The sequence below is a fragment of the Homo sapiens genome, chromosome 2 (assembly GCF_000001405.40).
Source record: "Homo sapiens chromosome 2, GRCh38.p14 Primary Assembly".
Taxonomy (NCBI): Eukaryota; Metazoa; Chordata; class Mammalia; order Primates; family Hominidae; genus Homo; species Homo sapiens.
In genome coordinates this window covers 26,297,487-26,318,613 of record NC_000002.12, presented here as the reverse complement: position 1 = coordinate 26,318,613, position 21,127 = coordinate 26,297,487, and the positions used below count along the sequence as shown (strand labels likewise).

The 21,127-nt window shown below is 49.2% G+C and overlaps 1 protein-coding gene and 1 long non-coding RNA gene across 20 annotated transcripts in view, besides 2 other annotated features; one reads left to right on the top strand and one right to left on the bottom strand.

The window, feature by feature from the left end:
* Positions 1-10,441, top strand: part of ADGRF3 (adhesion G protein-coupled receptor F3) — a 38,617-nt gene extending 28,176 nt beyond the window's left edge. For 2 of the 15 annotated variants that reach the window (NM_001321971.2, XM_047443565.1), the window contains exons 2-14: positions 1,052-1,118; positions 1,559-1,702; positions 2,166-2,339; positions 2,874-3,092; positions 3,991-4,200; positions 4,711-4,854; positions 5,041-5,237; positions 5,492-5,671; positions 6,540-7,922; positions 8,377-8,418; positions 8,509-8,571; positions 9,033-9,088; positions 9,507-10,439. In NM_001321971.2, coding sequence (NP_001308900.1) covers positions 1,052-1,118; positions 1,559-1,702; positions 2,166-2,339; positions 2,874-3,092; positions 3,991-4,200; positions 4,711-4,854; positions 5,041-5,237; positions 5,492-5,671; positions 6,540-7,922; positions 8,377-8,418; positions 8,509-8,571; positions 9,033-9,088; positions 9,507-9,528 — 2,901 coding nt within the window. In that variant the 3' untranslated portion in view covers positions 9,529-10,439. Of the gene's footprint in view, positions 1-219; positions 786-1,051; positions 1,119-1,558; positions 1,703-2,165; positions 2,340-2,846; positions 3,093-3,807; positions 4,201-4,710; positions 4,855-5,040; positions 5,238-5,491; positions 5,672-6,539; positions 7,923-8,376; positions 8,419-8,508; positions 8,671-9,032 lie in introns of those variants that run through there. The other 13 variants (XM_011532621.4, XM_011532622.3, NR_171656.1 and 10 more) reach the window with 12 other exon arrangements.
* Positions 52-551: an enhancer, noted in NCBI's record as "H3K27ac hESC enhancer chr2:26540931-26541430 (GRCh37/hg19 assembly coordinates)". NCBI's record gives its function as "activates a minimal SCP1, AML or CMV promoter by ChIP-STARR-seq in naive H9 embryonic stem cells {active_cell/tissue: H9 hESC(naive)}" and the evidence as "EXISTENCE:reporter gene assay evidence [ECO:0000049][PMID:30033119]".
* Positions 4,609-5,454: an enhancer, noted in NCBI's record as "H3K4me1 hESC enhancer chr2:26536028-26536873 (GRCh37/hg19 assembly coordinates)". NCBI's record gives its function as "activates a minimal SCP1, AML or CMV promoter by ChIP-STARR-seq in primed H9 embryonic stem cells {active_cell/tissue: H9 hESC(primed)}" and the evidence as "EXISTENCE:reporter gene assay evidence [ECO:0000049][PMID:30033119]".
* LOC105374334 (uncharacterized) lies at positions 5,655-20,872 on the bottom strand. 5 transcript variants are annotated; one of them, XR_939853.3, is made up of 4 exons: positions 14,492-19,565; positions 9,957-10,063; positions 9,486-9,549; positions 5,655-6,208 (listed from the first exon to the last, which is right to left on the bottom strand). It is a non-coding gene; the product is annotated as an uncharacterized LOC105374334 (long non-coding RNA). The 5 variants fall into 5 exon arrangements; XR_939854.3 differs by lacking the exon at positions 5,655-6,208 and adding an exon at positions 7,911-8,130; XR_007086250.1 differs by lacking the exon at positions 5,655-6,208 and adding an exon at positions 19,988-20,872 and having other exon boundaries at positions 9,346-9,549; positions 14,492-14,783.
* Positions 20,873-21,127: the final 255 nt, after the last annotated feature.

The window sequence follows — 21,127 nt, the reverse complement described above, 5'->3', positions numbered from 1 at the left end:
GAGGAAAGACATCAGAGTCTAGAGGGTGCCTTTCCATCTGTGTTCTCCTCAATAGATAGCTATATCTATGGCTATGTCTATATGTCACTAAGCCTAAATCTATCTCTATTGCTAAATTTAAATCTATCTTTATGTAAATATATATCTGTATCTGTATCTAAATCTATCTATATCTATATCTTTTTTAAGACATGCTCTCACCATGTTGCCCAGGCTGGACTTGAACTCCTGGGCTCAAGTGATCCTCCCACCTCAGCCTCCCAAGTAACTGGGACTAAAGGCACGTGCCATTGTGACCAGCTTATACTCACGTCTTATCCATACTCGTATCTATATCAATATCTGGTTTTGGATAGATATCCACACGCACACGCAGGTGCATATAGACAGGGCTCAGGTCTGTGACACAGTGAGCCCCTCCATATTTCCTGGAGGAAGGACTGCCATGTTCTCTCTCCTTGGGCCAGCTCCATCCTCACCTCCCTACCAGACAGACCCTTCCCTGCCTGCCCCATCCCCCTATCTTCTAGCTTTGGCCGATGGCCCAAGGGCCAGACAATGTGGGCCCAGACCTCCACCCTCACCCTGACAGAGGAGGAGTTGGTGAGGAAATAATGTACAGGAACCAAAGACGGAGGAAAGAGGCTGCCTTCTGCTCACCCTGCTGTCAAATCCTACAGAAGGAATAAACTCCCCAAGCGCCTGGGCCCCAGCCAGCAATGTCCAGCTCCGCTGCTGGAGCTCCAGACCAAGCCATTTCAATTAGCCTAGAGGCCCAGGGACAGGTAAACGCAGGAAGGAATTAAACAAAGCATGTTGACTTCCCAGGGCGTGCCTGGTTCCTGGTCTTGGGTGGGATAGCAGGGTTCCTGGGGTTGCATCCCTGGCACCCCCTAACAGAAGCCTGCTTTCCCTTCCTGATGTGTACACTTGACTCCTGGCAAAAAGAAGAGCTGGTTGAGACTGAGTCATGCTGGCTGAGACTAGTCAGGCTGGCCCCTGGGGTGCCTTTGGAAGGGACTTGAGGTCTCCCCTCTGTGTTCTGTTCCAGGGACAGAGTCAGGCTGGAGGGGAATCTGGATCTGGGCAGCTCCTGGACCAAGAGAATGGAGCAGGGGGTGAGTGTATGGACAGGAGGAGGAGGGAGGGGGAGGAGATGGGAGCTGGGAATGAGGTGGAAACCCAGGACCCAGAAAAGAGAGGGCAGGTGCAGCGAGGGAGTGGTGGCGGAGAGAGAGGACTGGCTCTGATCACAGTCGGACAGGTCTGTGACCAGTTCTCTAGCGGAGAGGCCTGGAAATGAACTCATTTGTCTTTGAAGCCTCATCCATAAAATAGGTGTTGCTGGACGGATGACATGAAGCCGTGTATCTGAAGGCACAGTGCCTAGGGGAGGACTTGCTCCCTTCCTGAGCCCTGTCTATATGCACCTGGACAGGCTGTGGGAGGGGGTCTGCTCTGCATTCCTGGGACTGGCCAGCTAGGTGAGAGAATCCAGAGGGGACCGGCTTGTGGCCTCGCTGCCTGTCCTCTCCAGCTGTCCCCTCTGCTCCTGTAGAATCAGCGCTGGTCTCCGTCTATGTACATCTGGACTTTCCAGATAAGACCTGGCCCCCTGAACTCTCCAGGACACTGACTCTCCCTGCTGCCTCAGCTTCCTCTTCCCCAAGGCCTCTTCTCACTGGCCTCAGACTCACAACAGGTACCACTTGCGTGGGAAGGGGGCTGAGAGTGAATGAACATAGGCTCCCGGGCCTCCTGCAGCCAGCTTGCCTGAGACTCTGTGAGCCCCTCTGTATTTCCTGGAGGAAGGGCTGCCTGGTTCTGTCTCCGTGGCCCAGCTCCTTCCTCACCTCCCTACCAGACAGACCCTTCCTTGCCTGCCACATCCCCCTATCTTCTAACTTTGGCTGATGGCCCAAGGGACAGACAACGTGGGCCCAGACCTCCACCTTCACCTGTTCCCTGGCCCCCGAGACATCTGCTGCTTCGAGTCCTGACTGAGGAGGCAGTCCTGATGCATGGGCCTGACTGAGGCACCTGTAGCTTGGGGATTGGTCCAGATACCCAGCCCTAAAGCCTCTCAGGCATCAGGCAGGTGTCTGCCCTGCCCACCTAGCTTCTTCAGACAGCCTGCCCACCCCCTCTTCTCTTCTCTCTGTCAGAGTGTAATGTCAACCACAAGGGGAATTTCTATTGTGCTTGCCTCTCTGGCTACCAGTGGAACACCAGCATCTGCCTCCATTACCCTCCTTGTCAAAGCCTCCACAACCACCAGCCTTGTGGCTGCCTTGTCTTCAGCCATCCCGAACCCGGGTACTGCCAGTTGCTGCCACCTGGTGAGGAAGGTTGGGAACTTGGAAACCAATGGCCTTAAGTGAAATAAATGTTCTCAGTGGTTTTCTCCTCTCTGAACCTGTAGTTTGGCCAGCTGGTCCAAGCACAGCTGCTCCTCTGGGTGGGAGAAAAAGCCAGCCATCATAGCAGATCACAGGCCCTGAGCTTGGAACCTGAGTAGGGAGACTAATGAGAGAGGCCCCAGAGACATAAGGACCAGGAGAGAAAGTGCTGGAGTGACTGCTTTTTACCTTAGGAGGCAGGAAGCAGCTCCAGTAGCCCAGGATACCTGGGGGAGGGAGAGGCATAGACCAAAAAGGTTCCCTCTTTGGTTTCCAATAACAGATAGAGTCTTCCAGGCTGGATTGCAGCAGCCACATTCAGGTGCCCACCCAGGGACAAAAAGAAAAAGTTAAAAAGCTAGGGAGGGAGTGTGGAGGAATGGGCTCCAGAGTCAGGGGAGAAGCCATTGCTCGGCTGCATCTGAGGGCCATAAGTCCCTCCTCCAGGGTCCCCTGTCACCTGCCTCCCTGCAGTCCCCGGGATCCTCAACCTGAACTCCCAGCTGCAGATGCCTGGTGACACGCTGAGCCTGACTCTCCATCTGAGCCAGGAGGCCACCAACCTGAGCTGGTTCCTGAGGCACCCAGGGAGCCCCAGTCCCATCCTCCTGCAGCCAGGGACACAGGTGTCTGTGACTTCCAGCCACGGCCAGGCTGCCCTCAGCGTCTCCAACATGTCCCATCACTGGGCAGGTAGCCAGCCTGTCCTCTCCTTGCCTCCTTTCTCCTTCCTCTTACTTCCCTTCATCCTCGTCTTCCTTCTCTGCTTTCCTTCACCTCTTCTTCCCACGCCTCCCTCCCTTCTCCTTCCTTCTTTTCTTTCCACCTCTTTCTCACCCTTTTCATCTTTCCATTTACCCATTCTGGGGAAACAAAGGCTAAGAGGTCCCTTGGTGTGAAAAATTGCAATGTGGAAAATTCTAAAAATGGCCAGCTGTTTTCACTGTGGTCTGGGACTTCTGAGACCCTTTTCAGGGTTTACAAAGTCACAACTATTGTCCTAATATGCTAAGATGTCATTTGACCCTTTCACTCCCACTCCCTCAGGTGTAGACAGTGGCCCTTTCCAGAGGCTACAGGGCCATCACGAGATTGAATGCAAATGCAGATGGGAGAACCCAGACACGGGCAAGATTTGCAAACATGTAAAACAAAGTCACTTGTCTAATTATGTTTTGGAAAATGTAGTTATTTTTCATAAAAATGTTTCTGTTAACAAAAATACTACAATTCTCCACACAAAATATGGAGAATGTGGAGAATACCGTCTCAATGTCTGCTGAGAACAGATCCATGTTTTTCAAGATGCTAAAATGGCAGGGGTGGTGCAGGAAGGGCATCTGCTCTAGGGAGAGCATGAAATTCACGGGCATGGGCCGATAAAAGAGAGATCTCTTCTACCTCCTAGAAATCCTTCTTGGGGACAGGGAATGTCCACCAAAGGGGCCATCCTGGGACCTTGCTTGCTGGGGTTAAGCACTGGGTGGCAGGCAGAGGACAGGAGCAAGGCTGTGGCTTGGAAAGCAGCAGAGATTCTGTGGTGCAGCGGGGCCCAGAGGAGCCACATAGCGCCGCACACACGTTTCTGCAGGTGAGTACATGAGCTGCTTCGAGGCCCAGGGCTTCAAGTGGAACCTGTATGAGGTGGTGAGGGTGCCCTTGAAGGCGACAGATGTGGCTCGACTTCCATACCAGCTGTCCATCTCCTGTGCCACCTCCCCTGGCTTCCAGCTGAGCTGCTGCATCCCCAGCACAAACCTGGCCTACACCGCGGCCTGGAGCCCTGGAGAGGGCAGCAAAGGTATGAGAAGGGGCCAGCAGTCAGGGGTCAGAGGGACCAGGGGGCAGCTGTCTCTTCCAGGCAGCTGGGTCTTCAGCTCATGAGAAACAGAGGCCACAGTTCAACCAGAGAGTGGGGTCCAAGGCCAACACTGTTTTCTACCCCATCAGAGCCATGCCACGTCTATTGCCATAACATAACCACATGTGTATAGGAAACTTTTGCAAAATGCTGTCATCTACACAATCTCATTTAACTCTCTATGGAATTAGTTTGATGGTAGTCTCCATTTTACAAATGAGGAAATGGTGGAAACTGAGTCCTAGAGCTTGTTAGAGACCCCACAGTCCCCTCCAGCAAAATCCAAGCTCTCTTCCTCTGTCCAAGTGGAGCCCACACATCATTTGGCTCTTCCCCACTGCTTCCTCTGTTTCTGAATTGCTAGAAAGACTGAAACAGCATGTCAGAGCCTGCTGGGTTCCAGGCCTGTCCCTGGCCCAATGACAGTTCCCTTCTTCGTTTTGCCTTCAGCTTCCTCCTTCAACGAGTCAGGCTCTCAGTGCTTTGTGCTGGCTGTTCAGCGCTGCCCGATGGCTGACACCACGTACGCTTGTGACCTGCAGAGCCTGGGCCTGGCTCCACTCAGGGTCCCCATCTCCATCACCATCATCCAGGGTACGCAGGGCCTGGGGCCCAGTGGGCTGGTCCCAGCTGCTTGCCTTGGGAGCACGGGCTCTCTTGCATGGCACGTCTCTGCCCTGGGCAACAGGACCAGGCTTCGGGGCCCGCATAGGGTTCTGCCCAAGGAGAGGCTCAGGTGAGGCTGTGATTGCTGAGTAGCGCCTGCTCGTCATTCTTCAGATGGAGACATCACCTGCCCTGAGGACGCCTCGGTGCTCACCTGGAATGTCACCAAGGCTGGCCACGTGGCACAGGCCCCATGTCCTGAGAGCAAGAGGGGCATAGTGAGGAGGCTCTGTGGGGCTGACGGAGTCTGGGGGCCGGTCCACAGCAGCTGCACAGATGCGAGGCTCCTGGCCTTGTTCACTAGAACCAAGGTGAAGCTTCCACCCTGCTGCCCACGTGCCCCCTCCACGGCCCACCCTAGCCTCTCTAGGACCCAGCTTGCAGACCCTTTTCCCCAAGGCCCAGCCCACAGGCTGTTCAGCTTCTCTGAAGTGGAGCCCTAGCAGAGCCAGGAAGTAGGAGTGAGAGGGCTTCTGGGGGTCAACAATCTCCATGGGTCTGGGATGCTCTTCTCAAACCATCATTCCACCATGTGTCCCACTTCATGCTGTCTCGTCTGTCTCAGCTGCTGCAGGCAGGCCAGGGCAGTCCTGCTGAGGAGGTGCCACAGATCCTGGCACAGCTGCCAGGGCAGGCGGCAGAGGCAAGTTCACCCTCCGACTTACTGACCCTGCTGAGCACCATGAAATACGTGGCCAAGGTGGTGGCAGAGGCCAGAATACAGCTTGACCGCAGAGCCCTGAAGGTGAGATCTCTGAGCCACAGTGGGGGCCAGCTGGGCAGTCGGGGGCTGAAGACTCCCCACCTGTGGGCATTTCTGTCCCTCTGATGTCACCATGGGCTGTTGGGCAGCAGACCTTTCCAGAGTCCAGGGGCCTGCTCCTGATCCATTTCTCCTCTCAGACACCACTCTCTGAGGCTGCAGAATGGAGGCCTGGCGCTGGGAGCACATGGGGGTTGGAGGCAGGCAAGGGTGTGGAGACATGAGGCCCGAGGCGTGTGTGCGCATGCAGGCGTGTGGCTATGATACAGACAGGAAGTTTCTATGGAGACGCTGAAGTATGCTTGGCTTTGCTGGGCTCACCTAAATCGGCTCTCTGTATGGGCATCCATTGGTGACCCATGAGCTGCAGCCAAAAGTGTAACAAAGGGCAATGATATTACACACCGTTTATGCCTGGGAATACATGGCATGTGTGAATGCACAGACATGCGTGTGGCCGTCGCCTCCAGGACACGGTGCCCTCTACCACTGCTGGTCACCATTCCTAGCTTTGCAGACCTGGAGGGGCCAAAGAATGGGAGAAGTCCCCTCTTAGAACCTGGGTGGCCCCTAGGGATGGAGGGGGAAGAAGGGTTTTCAGCAGAGGGGCTGGGTGCAGGTCAGGGGACATATCCTTGAAGATGCCCCAGGTGGTTGGCCAAACAGCTCCCTGTTCTTCCCATCTAGAAAGTCTCCCTTCACAGGCCTGTCTTCCTCTCCCTTTTCTCTCCAACCTTGGGTCGCACACTGGACTGGGAAGGGAAGGTGTGGGGTCTGTTGTTCTCATTGCCCCCGGCTCAGTCCTGTGGGCGCCAGCAGACGGGGTTCATCTTTCTTTTGGGTGCTGCAGAATCTCCTGATTGCCACAGACAAGGTCCTAGATATGGACACCAGGTCTCTGTGGACCCTGGCCCAAGCCCGGAAGCCCTGGGCAGGCTCGACTCTCCTGCTGGCTGTGGAGACCCTGGCATGCAGCCTGTGCCCACAGGACCACCCCTTCGCCTTCAGCTTACCCAATGTGCTGCTGCAGAGCCAGCTGTTTGGACCCACGTTTCCTGCTGACTACAGCATCTCCTTCCCTACTCGGCCCCCACTGCAGGCTCAGATTCCCAGGCACTCACTGGCCCCATTGGTCCGTAATGGAACTGAAATAAGTATTACTAGCCTGGTGCTGCGAAAACTGGACCACCTTCTGCCCTCAAACTATGGACAAGGGCTGGGGGATTCCCTCTATGCCACTCCTGGCCTGGTCCTTGTCATTTCCATCATGGCAGGTGACCGGGCCTTCAGCCAGGGAGAGGTCATCATGGACTTTGGGAACACAGATGGTTCCCCTCACTGTGTCTTCTGGGATCACAGTCTCTTCCAGGGCAGGGGGGGTTGGTCCAAAGAAGGGTGCCAGGCACAGGTGGCCAGTGCCAGCCCCACTGCTCAGTGCCTCTGCCAGCACCTCACTGCCTTCTCCGTCCTCATGTCCCCACACACTGTTCCGGAAGAACCCGCTCTGGCGCTGCTGACTCAAGTGGGCTTGGGAGCTTCCATACTGGCGCTGCTTGTGTGCCTGGGTGTGTACTGGCTGGTGTGGAGAGTCGTGGTGCGGAACAAGATCTCCTATTTCCGCCACGCCGCCCTGCTCAACATGGTGTTCTGCTTGCTGGCCGCAGACACTTGCTTCCTGGGCGCCCCATTCCTCTCTCCAGGGCCCCGAAGCCCGCTCTGCCTTGCTGCCGCCTTCCTCTGTCATTTCCTCTACCTGGCCACCTTTTTCTGGATGCTGGCGCAGGCCCTGGTGTTGGCCCACCAGCTGCTCTTTGTCTTTCACCAGCTGGCAAAGCACCGAGTTCTCCCCCTCATGGTGCTCCTGGGCTACCTGTGCCCACTGGGGTTGGCAGGTGTCACCCTGGGGCTCTACCTACCTCAAGGGCAATACCTGAGGGAGGGGGAATGCTGGTTGGATGGGAAGGGAGGGGCGTTATACACCTTCGTGGGGCCAGTGCTGGCCATCATAGGCGTGAATGGGCTGGTACTAGCCATGGCCATGCTGAAGTTGCTGAGACCTTCGCTGTCAGAGGGACCCCCAGCAGAGAAGCGCCAAGCTCTGCTGGGGGTGATCAAAGCCCTGCTCATTCTTACACCCATCTTTGGCCTCACCTGGGGGCTGGGCCTGGCCACTCTGTTAGAGGAAGTCTCCACGGTCCCTCATTACATCTTCACCATTCTCAACACCCTCCAGGTAGGTGATAGGGGGGTGGCTGTGTTTTTTGCTTTTTTAGATGGTCTAAGTCACTGCCGATCTCTTCTCTAGGAGGTACCAAGGTGGAGCAGAAGAAACATAGGTTCAGGAATTTTGGAAGGCTTAGGTGTGGATCCCAGTTCCTCCACTGAGTAGCTGGATAACTTTGGACAAATTACATAACCTCTCTGAGCTTTGGTTTTCTTATCTGTAAAATAATAGCTGATTTTGTTGGAGAAATCAGGAAATTGTCAGTACCCAATCCTTTGCTATCCCTTTTATAACCATAACAATAAGAAAAGCACCTGAAATGGATCCTATGCACCAAATAGTGGTAACAGAAAAATTGAGATGAGAAGCCTTAGGATGTGAATTACACAGGACAGAAGGAGCATGTTGATTCGGGTGGATCCCTTCCTCCTTGACCAGCTTATCCCCATGTCCCTCTTCTCAGGGCGTCTTCATCCTATTGTTTGGTTGCCTCATGGACAGGAAGGTAAGTCTGCCCACCTAACCCCCTGCCTCACTTGCAGCCCGCAGGCCGGGGCCGTGGCTGGCATAAGCAGAGCATTTACCTCTCCCGCAGATACAAGAAGCTTTGCGCAAACGCTTCTGCCGCGCCCAAGCCCCCAGCTCCACCATCTCCCTGGTGAGTTGCTGCCTTCAGATCCTCAGCTGTGCATCCAAGAGCATGTCAGAAGGCATTCCATGGCCCTCCTCAGAGGACATGGGCACAGCCAGAAGCTGAGAGAAGATTGGGGTTGTTTTTTAGAATGAACAGTTTTCCGGTTCCAGCTCCCCACCAGTGGAATGAGCAGCCTGGTCAGAGCAGTCAGGATCAGGGTCCTGGGTTCCTGATTATCACCTGGACTCCTGCTGACTCTCTTTTCTCTGGTTTCTCCATCTAAAAATCTGCCTCCAGTTAGCATTTGAAGGAAAAGTGTGGGATCAGTACTCATGGGAGTTACTGTAGCTGAGAGCAAAATTTCTAGGATTCCTGCAGCACAGGCAGGAGTGCATGTGAGAAAGTAAAACAGATACAACCTCTTCAAGGGAGAGTTGACAATACTAATAACTGCCCTGCAATTGGGCCTTCCCACCCCTTCCTAGGCCACAAATGAAGGCTGCATCTTGGAACACAGCAAAGGAGGAAGCGACACTGCCAGGTGAGAACTAGGCTTTCTCAGGGGCAGCGTAAGCAGGGTGGATTGAGGACGGTGTGGCAAAGGGCCTCCTGGCAAAGTGCTGGAGAGAAGCCTCCTCTTTCTATACCCAGCCCACACCAAAGGGTAGGAAACAGGTTTTTCTAGGGTAGCCATTGCTAGATGGCTGGGAGACGGTGGAAATGTCAGAGAGCAGAAAGCATAGCACCTTATCTTGCTTTCCAAGAAAGCAAGAAGTTTCACCACCACCAGTCCTTGACTTGGTTTCTCTGAAAATTCCTTTTCACATTATCACACATTTAATTATCATGAGAGTCACGCCTTGAAGGGATTGCCATGGGTGGGCTTGGTATCCAGAGGGGAGGGCAGCCTGCAGAAGTTGGGCTCAGTATCCACTCACCAGCCGCAAGCTCTTTCACAGGAAGACAGATGCTTCAGAGTGAACCACACACGGACCCATGTTCCTGCAAGGGAGTTGAGGCTGTGTGCTTGAACCCACCAGATGAGCCCTGGCCCAATGCTCTGAACTCTTCCCGCCTCCCGGAGCTCAGCCCTTGAGAAAGGCAGGCTTATATTTCCCTTAGTGACACTCATTTATCTTACAGCTCACCCCTTCTCATTTCTAAAGTATCCAGCAAGAATAGCAGGAAAAATTAGCTAAAGGCACCTAATGAATAAGCCTGCCTTTGCTCCAGAAATAATCGACAGATATCAAAGTGCGGAATAATTACAAGTAAACTTTCTCAACCAGTTTTTAACTACAACAATACATGTTGTGAATGAATATATTTGATAAAAATGGTTTTAATTGACCTATTCAGCGATTTCTGATTATTTCTTTTTCAATAGTTATGAAGAAAGGATGACTTACTTGACAGGAACCTCTGATCTTTCAAACATTGGAGATGAAGGGCAGAATTTGGTTTGTCTTTTCAAGTTTAGGAAAAGGTGAAGTTAATTGGTCCCTCTTTCTTTAACCTTTAAAAAATCAATATAAAATGTAAGTTTCTTAACCATATCCATGTATAGAGGCATTGATTGATATGAGCACGTTGTAAGAATAGGTTATAAAAATTTAAAGTTTAATATAAATTTATATCAATTAATAAAGTTTAATTTATATTTAAAAATGAATACTAGAAGAAAATCTTTTTGAAGACACCAAGATATCTATCTGGCTGAATTAACTTATGGAATTCACAAGAGGAAGATGACAGGATTCTGAGAAATTTTTAAACTAGATACGTGAAAAAAGTCTGATGAATCGGTCTTTGTTAATTATGCAATTCATGGATATTTTTTATAAAATGGGACGGGGGCATTTTCTGTTAAAATAAAAATGGTTATGCTATCACGTACCGTTGAAAACACTTTTCTTACAAACGCCATGCCTTCACTTAATGATTAGTGTGAATATTTGAATTGTGTATAAATTGGCCCAAATGTTTCTATAAGTGGATTCATTATACTTTCAAAGAGAAGCCACCAATTCAGCAGGGCCATTGCAGTGTTCTCTTTTTTTTTTTTTTTTTTTTTTTTTTTGAGACAGAGTCTTGCTCGGTCACCCAGGCTGGAGTGGAGTGGTGCAATCTCGGCTCACTGTAAGCTGCATCTCCCATGTTCACTACATTCTCCTGCCTCAGCCTCCCGAGTAGTTGGGACTACAGGTGCCCGCCACCACGCCCAGCTAATTTTTTGTATTTTTAGTAGAGACGGGGTTTCACCGTGTTAGCCAGGATGGTCTCCATCTCCTGACCTCACGATCCACCCACCTCGGCCTCCCAAAGTGCTGGGATTACAGGTGTGAGCCACCGTGCCCGGGCCCATTGCAGTGTTTCTAAGCCTCACACTCACTCCAGCCCTGTAGGAGGCAGGTGGTGACTAAGACAGAGCAAGCTCTGCCTTGCAGCATAGACATGTCTCAACCCCACTTCATTTCACTTCCACTTCACTGATAGTTTTCATTTTATAAATTACAAAAGTATCTTTTGGTTACAAATCCAAATAATACTCTTTCACTTTAGAAGCAACAGGGTCCCCCTTTCTGAGTGCGCTTCTGTAGATATATGTGCTCTAATTTTCCTTCGCAATTGTTTGCACATACTCAATGCATGCTCTGCTGGTAAAAACACACAGAATTACACTGGGCACTGTGGCTCATGCTTGTAATCCCAGCGCTTTGGGAGGCCCAGGTGGGCAGATCACATGAGGTCGGGAGTTCGAGACCAGCATGGACAACATGGTGAAACCCTGCCTCCACTAAAAATACAAAAATTCACCAGGTGTGGTGGCGCGTGCCTGTAGTCCCAGCTACTCGGGAGGCTGAGGCAAGAGAATTGCTTGAACCGGGGAGACGGAGGTCACAGTGAGCCAAGATCGTGCCACTGCACTCCAGCCTGGGCAACAGAGAGATACTCTGTCTCAAAAAAAAAAAAAAAAAAAAAAAAAGCCACACACAGAATTGACAGATGGAATGACATTAAGTTCTTGTTTACTTGGCTCTCACCATAAAACAAAAAAACAAAACAAAACAAGACAGGACTGTAAAAGAAGGCTTTGGAGACAAAGGTAAGAAAACTGACACTCAGCAGCAATTCCATTTCTAAAAAGATGGCTTTAAAAAATAAGTGGGCCAGGCACAGTGGCTCACGCCTGTAACCCCAGCACTTTGAGAGTCTGAGGTGGAAGGATCACTTGAGCCCAGGAGTTCAAGACGAGCCTGGGCAACATAGGGAGGACCCTATCTCTACAAAAAAAAAAAAATTAAAATTAGCCAGGTGTGGTGGCACATGCCTGTGGTCCCAGATACTCAGGAAGCTGAGGTGGGAGGATTGCCCGAGCCAGGGAGGTTGAGGCTGCAGTGATCACACCACTGCACTCCAGCCTAGGCAACAGAGCGACACCCTGTCTCCAAAAAAAAGAAAAAGAAAGAGAGAGAGAAAGAGAAGTGGATGAGTGAATAGATAATGTGCACAAACAATGTGCATTCCAGTGTGTGTATGTCCTCTAAAAAGAGGCACCTAGAAAAATAAACTAGGATATAGCCATACAAAGGAACACCATGTGGTCATTAAAAATGATGATGTATAGCTACACCTACTGATAGGGAAAAATATTTAGACTATATTGCAGTGGGATAATTAAAGAATCAGAGAGACCGAGGGGTTGAGGAGGAATTATTTAATTATTTAGATGCACCAAACCAGTCAGATTAACATTTAAAGGACACAGCCTTGAACAGAGTTAAGCTACCTTTTAAGCATTTTGTGGGGCGAGGGGAGATCTGTGCAGGGGGAAGCCTATTATAGAAACAAGAAGCAAAGACAGTTATTTAACTGAGACATGCATTATATTACTTTTTACTTTTTAAGGAACAACATGTTTTATGACTTGAGATTATCTGTCTAGTGACCTTACAGCTGCACAGCTAGAGAAACAGTCTTCACAATGCCTGGGAAAGGGAGAGAGAAGGCTCACTAGCCACAGAAAAACAGGCAGTTGATTTTAAAGGACTCCAGCTCTTTCTCTTCTTCAGGGGGAATTGGTGTTTTTTTTTTTTTAAACATATAACTGAGTTTTTGCTCACACATTCTTTAATTTCTTTTAATTTCTGTTCCATTTCCCCCCTTTGGTGCTTTTCATAACAAAGGTGTTAATAGAAAGCACCACTATTTGCCACCTCTTCACAGAGCTGAGCTCTTTCTTCTACTGGCAGCGGCTGATATTTGGTTAATGCCATCAACTGCGTGGCAGTGTGTCGGGTTACCACTGCCTCTATAGTTGACAAATACTCCTACTTACAGGGGTAAAAGTCAAGGGAGGATGAGGCAGATTCCAAGAATAAACAAAAACCCACCAATGAGGGTTTTGAATCTTTTAAAGGTTGAGAACCATCCTCTAAACAAGGAATCCGGGGATTATCTGGAGCAAGTCTGAACTGGAACATGGGCTAACTTGCGCATTTTAGCTGTGATTTCTATGACAGCTCGGCCGTTATTATCTTTCCAGTCTTTTATGTCTACATTTTTTTGACATTTGTGTCATTTTTGCGATTATGCTTTTTTTAGTTTTTTTTTAAATTTTCATTATAAACTGGATATCCTAAGAGTTCCCCTTGCTTTAGAGGAATTAGAAAGAAGGATGGCTTGATTGTTCCTAACACACACGCCTCTGTCTATTTAGCTGATATGCCTGTGCCGACACACCCGTGCTCCACAGTTCCAATATAGGCCAAAGGGTGCTTTCTAAGCATCTGGAGCCTCTAGCTGATGCCAAGAGTGGCTTAGAGTAGAGAACCGAGAGAAAGGGTTTGGATCTGGTAAATAGGAGTCGTTCTGGGCGTTTCTGCATAGAGTTTTGTTTTTAGTCTCATCATAATACTGTTGCCCTAGGCAGGTTGTTTCTCCTACTGCCTCTGTGAAAGCTTTTTTTTTTTTTTTTACTCAGGCGATACAGTACTTTTCAATTACGGAGGTTTTAAACAACCAAACACTGGTTGAGGCTGTTGGTTCACTGGCAGGGTTAGGCGAAGTAAAGTTATCTTGTGGCATTACTTTTTTTGCCTCTCATGGCCACTGGTCCCCTATATTAGTTTCTCCGCATACATAGCATAAGGAAATTTCCAAGCTGCCAGATATGTTTTTAGCTAGTTGAGCAAGTAAATTTTTGGTTGATGGGAAAGCTCAGGCACTGACTGATCAAAATGTTTATAGAATGACTTATGGACCCGGAATTGTGGGGTTGGACACATTTGAATCCTTCTAGTCTTTTTGACAATTAGTAGTGGAACTCCAAGGCCTACTCCTTGTCTATCAACTCATAATAGTGCTGTCTGTCCTGTAGACCAAAAAGGTAGCTCTGGCTTTAAGATAGTAAAATTTAAAGGATTGCATGTTCTTGCCTTACAATTTGGTTTGGTTGACATACTACTTAGCAGAGCAATCCTTCCTGAATATAAGTGTTGGAGATGTGTTAGTGTAGACCACCGAATGTTACAGTCTGGGCATCCGATTTGTAGCTCTCCGTACAGGTGTTTAGGGCTGCTCTTGCTAAGCCTCTCTTGTGTTAAACCATTGCAGACTGTTTCTGGTTGTATGTGTAGGTTTCTAACTTGGTTCCTGTACATTTATAGTAGGTATGGTACAGTAGAGTTTTAACTACGCTATTCCTTACCCAGATAGTATGTACACAGTGTGGACATCCTTCTAGAGATTTCTCCCCTTCTAGTATAGGCAGAAATGGTAACGACAACAGTGTATGTAATAGAAACATGCCTATACTATACATGGGCATGGCAAACCTTCCTCTGGGCATAGACATTTGCAGCATTTGCAATGATAACATAACAGCAGAGCAATCAGTGTTGACAGAATTGTAAGTAGGCTTATAAATTGTATCCACATTTACTTATCCGGATATGGTCCTCTTAGCTTCGACTGTGCGTAGACTAGTCAGCTTCCAGGATGTGACTAGAGCAGAGCTTGCAGGATCCTCAAGCTTCAGCCGTGCATAGACTGACCATCCTCCGGTGTGGTCAGAGCAGGCCAGTTGTCCTTCTTACCGGTGGTTGGGTTTCGCCGTAGGACTATTCAGGTGGGGCGATCTGGGTCTTGTTGGTTAATCCACTGGTTATCATCGGGAGTCTCTGTTGCCACTGGTTTCTGCTGGCTATGGTGAATCCAAGGTGTGACACCTGCAACTTTAACAGCAGTGGAAGCAGACATGATTACAATACGAGACCTATCCTGTATGGGTCCCAGAATGGTTGGATTCCATTATTTTAGCTTAAACAAAATCCTTAGGTTTGAAAGGGTGTACTGGGTCTGTTAGACTTATAGGCATTTTTCTATACCCAGTCATGCATTCTTACATGGCCATACTTAAAGTCTGCATTTGCCTTCTTAAAGTTAGTTCTTCTAGTTTACAGAGATTACCTTTAATCTGTCTTATGATGGGTGGGTGGGTGGCCGGCCGAAAAAAATCTCAGAGGGCGAATACCCAGTTTGTTTGGTGGAGGTGCACCTGACTTGGAGGAGGACCATGGGCAAGACCTGATCCTACTTTTGATGAGTTTTTTTGACACAATTTCTTCAGTAGCTGTTTGAGTGTCTGGTTCATGCGTTCCACCTTCCCTGAACTCTGTGGTCGATAGGCTGTGTGCAGTTTCCATTTGATCTTTAAAAGTTGAGTTAGCTGTTGTACAACTTCTGCCACAAATGCAGGACCGTCGTCTGATCCTAGGGTTAGAGGCGACCCAAACCTTGGTATGATGTCTTTCAGTAGCACCTTTGTCACCTCTTGTGTCTTTTTAGTTCCGGTGGGGAAGGCCTCAACCCACCCCGAGTAGGTGCAAACAAACACTAGCATATACTGGTAACCTCCTGCTCAAGGCAACTCGGTAAAGTCTATAAGCAGGTTCTCACAAGGCACAGCTCCTACTTCCTGAATTCCTGGAGGTTGAGTAGGTCCTCGTTTTGGATTACTCCGGGCACAAGATAGACATTGTTCACAAACAGCACGGGTCATGGCAGACAGCCATGGCACATAGAGATGCCAACCTATCCAAGTCTCTAGAGCTGTCCTTCCAATGTGTGTTCCTTGATGGATCTGCTTCACAAACCTTGGGGCTATTGTCTCTGGGATGGCTAGCCTCCTGTCAGAGCCACCATCCACCTTTAATATATTTTTTTGTTTCCTGACCAAACCAAGCTGTTTCACTTGAAGAGTAATTGGGTACCTCCGGCAAAGGGGGCTCTATAAGGAGAGGCGTTGCTATAGGTCTTTCTTCAGGTAAAGCCTTGCTCATTGATGCCCGCAGAGCCTCTAGGTCTGCCTTTCTGTTGCCCTGTGATTCATAGCTTTTTTCCATTTAGTGTTCTTTGCAATGAATGACAGCCACCTTTTCTGGAGCCTATATGGCTTCTAATAATTGCAAAATTTCCTCTTTATTTTTTTTTTTAATTTTTTTTCCTTTAGTAGTCAAAAGTCCTCTCTCTTTGCATGTTGCCCCATGGGCATGCAGGGTTGCAAAAGCATATCTTGAATCAGTATATATATTTACTTTCTTCCCCTTGTCCAATAACAGTGATCCGGTTAATGCTATTAATTCAGCCTTCTGAGCAGAAGTCCCAGAAGGTAAGGCTTGAGCCTCAACTGCTGAGTGTTGGGTCACTACGGCATACCCTGCATATCGTACCCCATCTGTTATGAAACTGCTACCATCAGTGAAGTATTCAACATCTGGGCTCTCCAAGGAGGATATCTCTGAGATCTTCCTGGCTCGAGAACACTTCATCCACCGTATTTAGGCAACAGTGGAGAAGGTCCTGCCAGCAGCGAGGCAACCTACCGTCCTTCCAGTCGGGTTCCTCCACAGGCAGCAGGGGAACTGGGTTCAAGGTATTTACAGTCTCCAGTGTTATCTGGGGATTTTTACACAGAAGCCCTTGATACTTTAGCATTCTAGAGTTGGACAGCCAATGATGTCCTCTTTGCTCCATTAAGGTGACTACAGCATGTGGCACCCGAACTATTAACTTCTGACCTAGGGCTAGCTTGTTGGCATCTTTTAGAAGGATTGCAGTAGCTGCCAACGCCCTGAGGCAGTGGGGCCAACCTAAGGCCACCAAGTCCAGTCTCTTGGATAAGTGTGTTACCGGCCGATGCTAAGAGCCCAGCTGAGTTACGACTCCGACTGCCATTCCCTTTCGTTTATTCACATACAAAAAAAGGGCTTTTTAATATCTGGCAACCTTAGCGCCGGGGCTTGGATGAGAGCTTCGTTTATATCTTTGAAGGCCTTTTCCTATTCCTTTTCCCATAGGAGGGGCTCTCTTTCTTTTCCTTTGGTAGCCTCATATAAGGGCTTTGCTATAAGGGAGAAGTTTGGAATCCAGATTCGGCAGAATCCCGCCGCACCTAGAAATTCCCTGACCTGTGGGTGGGCAATGCACCTACAGCCTCCTTGCGTGCACTTCCAAGCCTGCACTGGCCTTGGGATACCATGAATCTTAGCTATCCAACCTGCTGAAAAAAGACTTTTGCCTTGTCCTTGGACACTTTGTAAACTGGCCTGTATTCACCATTTGGCTTCTGCACAGGCAGCAGAGGAGTATTCCAGGAGGACTTGCATTTCAGTATAATCCTATGTTCACAGAGCCGATTTAAATGTTTCGTTATGCCATCAATTGCCTCTCTGGGTAGTGGGTATTGACGGACTTGTACCGGGGAACATAAGGGCTAAGCTCTACTACGACCGGGGGTCTGTTTGCAGCAAGTCCAGGGAGGTTGTGCTCGGTCCATACACCTGGTACCTTGAAAAGCATTCCCCGCATATTGTGTAGGTCCGCCTCCAGTGGCCTTCTGGCACACAGTTTATAGAGCCGCCATTTCTCAGTTCTTGAGACAGTTATAGTCAAAACCATTGCCTTAAACTTTCTAAACTCTAGTGTCATATTCTCTTTAGGTGTAAAGGAGATTTGTGCCTGCAGTTTCTGGAGTAAGTCTCTTTTCAACAAGGGCACTGGATAATTTGGCATATATAGAAACTCATGCTGCACTTTTTGTCCCCCAATAATACATCTCCTGGATTTGCAAAAAGGCCTCTTTTCTTTGGCGCCAGTAGCCCCTACGATAGTAGCACAGTTCTTTGTGGGGGGACTAATTGGTGAGTTACCACAGAGAAATCAGCACCAGTATCGACCAAAAAATCCATTAATTGGCCCCCTACTTCCATAGAGACTATAGGCTCCCCGGGGCCTAAAAGGATGGAGCCCGGTCTATCAGTCCTCTAAATTCTCAGCCCCCGCTAAGCCGATCAGATCAGGATCTGCCTTTGAAGCATGACAACTAGCAACCGAACGCTGCACTCGGGTGTTAGACCATTGACCATTTTCCTTATTCTTTTGACATTTATCCTTCTAGTGTCCTTTCCTTTTGCACTGTCCGCATTAATCTCTCTCTAGCCTCGGCCGGCTTTCAAACTCCTGTCCAGACTAGCCTTTTCCACGACTGTGTTCACGCCCACGTCCCTGCCTCCTTGCAAAGCCAGCTTCTCTTCCTGTAAGGGCTGCTGCTAGTAAATTAGCCTTTCTTAAGCCTCCGATCAGCTTTCTTTTTTGCCTCTTGATCTCAGTTAATGTACACCTTGGTAGCCACCTTAATAAGCTGAGTAGCATTCACGCCTACGGAGCTTCTAACTTCTGCAATGTATGCCGGATATCTCCTTGGGCCTGTCTTACAAATGCTGTATCCACCACGTGCTGATTTTCAGCAGCCTTAGAGTTAAACGGAGTGTACAACCAAAATGCCCACAAAGTCTTTTTTAAAACTGGTTGGTGCTTTTATCTGCACCCTGGAGCACCTCTGAGATTTTTTTTATATATATATATATATTGGTTACCTTTTTCTTTTACCATCCTTTAGCCTTTGGCAGAAGTGCTTCTCGGCAATTTTGTAGGGGTTGAAGCTGGACTGCATCATCTGGGTCCTAGTGGGGGTCCTTTTGTCCTCTTAAGAGGCATAAGCATAACTTGGGCACGGCCAGACCTGAGACGGCCTGCCTGACTTTTTTGTAACCTTTCACTTTAACTTCCTGGAGCTCTGATTTTTTCTTCTGGGAGCCTGTATTTCTTTGAACTTAACTCCTTAGGGGCAGTTAGCCTTGGTAAAGGGGGGTAGATTGGAATGTAGGGAGGAGGGGTCTTTATTCCCTTCTGTGGTTCTTGCAAAACCAGTTTTCTCTTTCCTGAGACTTTTCTTTTGTCTCCATAGTTCCTGGCACAGCTGATTTTTACTTTCACTTTTGGCTTTTACTTTTCACTTTTTACTTGTGGAGTTACAAGGCTCTGTGACTTTCCCTTTAACTCTGTAGCTGCCAGCACAGCTGGTGTCTCTCGCCATGAGCTGCGAGCGTTCTACAATAAACTGCTAGGCAGGGCTGCATTCATTTAGCCATGAATCAATACAAAGACTAGGTCTGAATGCCCTGGTGGTCCTCCAACCCTAGTCACCACCTTAAAACACACGGCCAATTTCTCTGTAGTGCCTTCGGCCAGTCGTCCAACACTAAAAGAGGGCTATTCTAATTCACAGTATGTCCTTAAATTTTGAGCATCCAGTTTCATCCCATAATCACCTCTAAATCCTTTTTAAAAATTTTTTTATCATGCACTCCAAAGGAGTTGGTTTCGACGCTTTTCCTCCCATTTCCTCCCTTGCGGCGCACTTTCACTCTCACTTTTACTCTCGGGTCCACCAGACTGGGTCCTATTACGGGAGTTTTGGACGCTGCTTAGCCAGGAACGTGCCTTCCCCTCTCACAGCCTGCTGCAGCGGTGGACCTGGTCCTATCAGCCGTATACAACGTTCTAGGTCTGGTTTCCCCCACACTGGCCTCGGAACACAACCCGCACTAAGGGATCTGTGCCTCCCCTCGTCACTCCCCGCGTTGGCCTCTCCCGAGACCATCTCTTTCACACACTTTCACACACCTCCCCTACCCCAGGACTCCTCATCGGATGAAACAGGCCTCTCCATGTGCCGGGTGAGCCTAGTTAGGCTCCCACATTCACACACATACACACACCACTCCTACCCCAGGACTCCTCATTGGACGAAACGAGCCTCTCTCATGTCCCGGGTAGGTTCACACGCACATACCCACTCCCAGTTCGGGTGGCAAGAGTGCCAGCAAGCTCTTCCTTGCTGCACTTGCCGCTCTATCGGCCTATTTTCTCCTTTCCACCTTATTAGTGGGGACACAAGCTTCATCCAAATTGGCAGGCCATTCCTGCCGCCCCCCAGCCACTCTGGGTTGGATTAGTGATTGGTCCCCGGGAGGTGATCAAGCTCCCCTTCGCCCCTATGAGACGGGCTTTCCTGCCTTGGGCCTTTTTTCCTTACCGTGGTTCCTGAAGTGCTGGTATCGTCCTGCAGCCCAGTCTCCGGTTCTGTTGCGCTGCCGGGCAGGGCACTGGGACGCGGGGAGAGCCAGTCTCCATCCAGGTGAAGCTCCCCCATGGCGCGCCTTGGATGCCGGGTCTCCCCGAGCCCCAGGGCCCTAAGTCCCCCAGGCAAAGGAGACAGTAAATCTGTCGTCTCCAGTTCCTGTACGGGCCACCAGAAATGCAGTGGGATAATTAAAGAATCAGAGAGACCGAGGGGTTGAGGAGGAATTATTCAATTATTTAGATGCACCGACCGAGTCGGATTAACATTTAAAGGACTGAGCCTTGAACAAAGAGTCAAGCTACCTTTTAAGCATTTTGTGGGGCGAGGGGAGATCTGTGCAGGGGGAAGCCTATTATAGAAACGAGAAGCAAAGACAGTTATTTAACTGAGACATGCATTATATTACTTTTTACTTTTTAAGGAACAACATGTTTTATGACTTGAGATTATCTGTCTAGTGACCTTACAGCTGCATAGCTAGAGAAACAGTCTTCACAATGCCTGGGAAAGGGAGAGAGAAGGCTCACTAGCCACAGAAAAACAGGCAGTTGATTTTAAAGGACTCCAGCTCTTTCTCTTCTTCAGGGGGAATTGGGTTTTTTACATGTAACTGAGTTTTTGCTCACACATTCTTTAATTTCTTTTAATTTCTGTTCCAATATAGCTAAGTAAAACAACAGCATTCCAGAACAGCATTATACTATGCAATTTTGGTCCCTATGTAACCGAATGCAGGTGTGGATGCTTGCTGCTTGCAGAGTCCAATTAACAAGAGCAAGGTCTGGTAGAAAGAAAGTGATTTCATTATCCAAAACTAGTAAAGGGGCCGGGCGCGGTGGCTCATGCCTGTAATCCCAGCACTTTGGGAGGCCAAGGTGGGCAGATCACCTGAGGTCAGGAGTTCAAGACCAGCCTAGCCGACATGGCAAAACCCCGTCTCTCCTAAAAAATACAAATATTAGCCAGGCGTGATGGCAGGCACCTGTAATCCCAGCTATTCGGGAGGCTGAGGCAGGGAGAATGGCTTTAACCCGGGAGGCGAAGGTTGCAGTGAGCCAAGATCGCACCACTGCACTCCAGCCTGGTGACAGG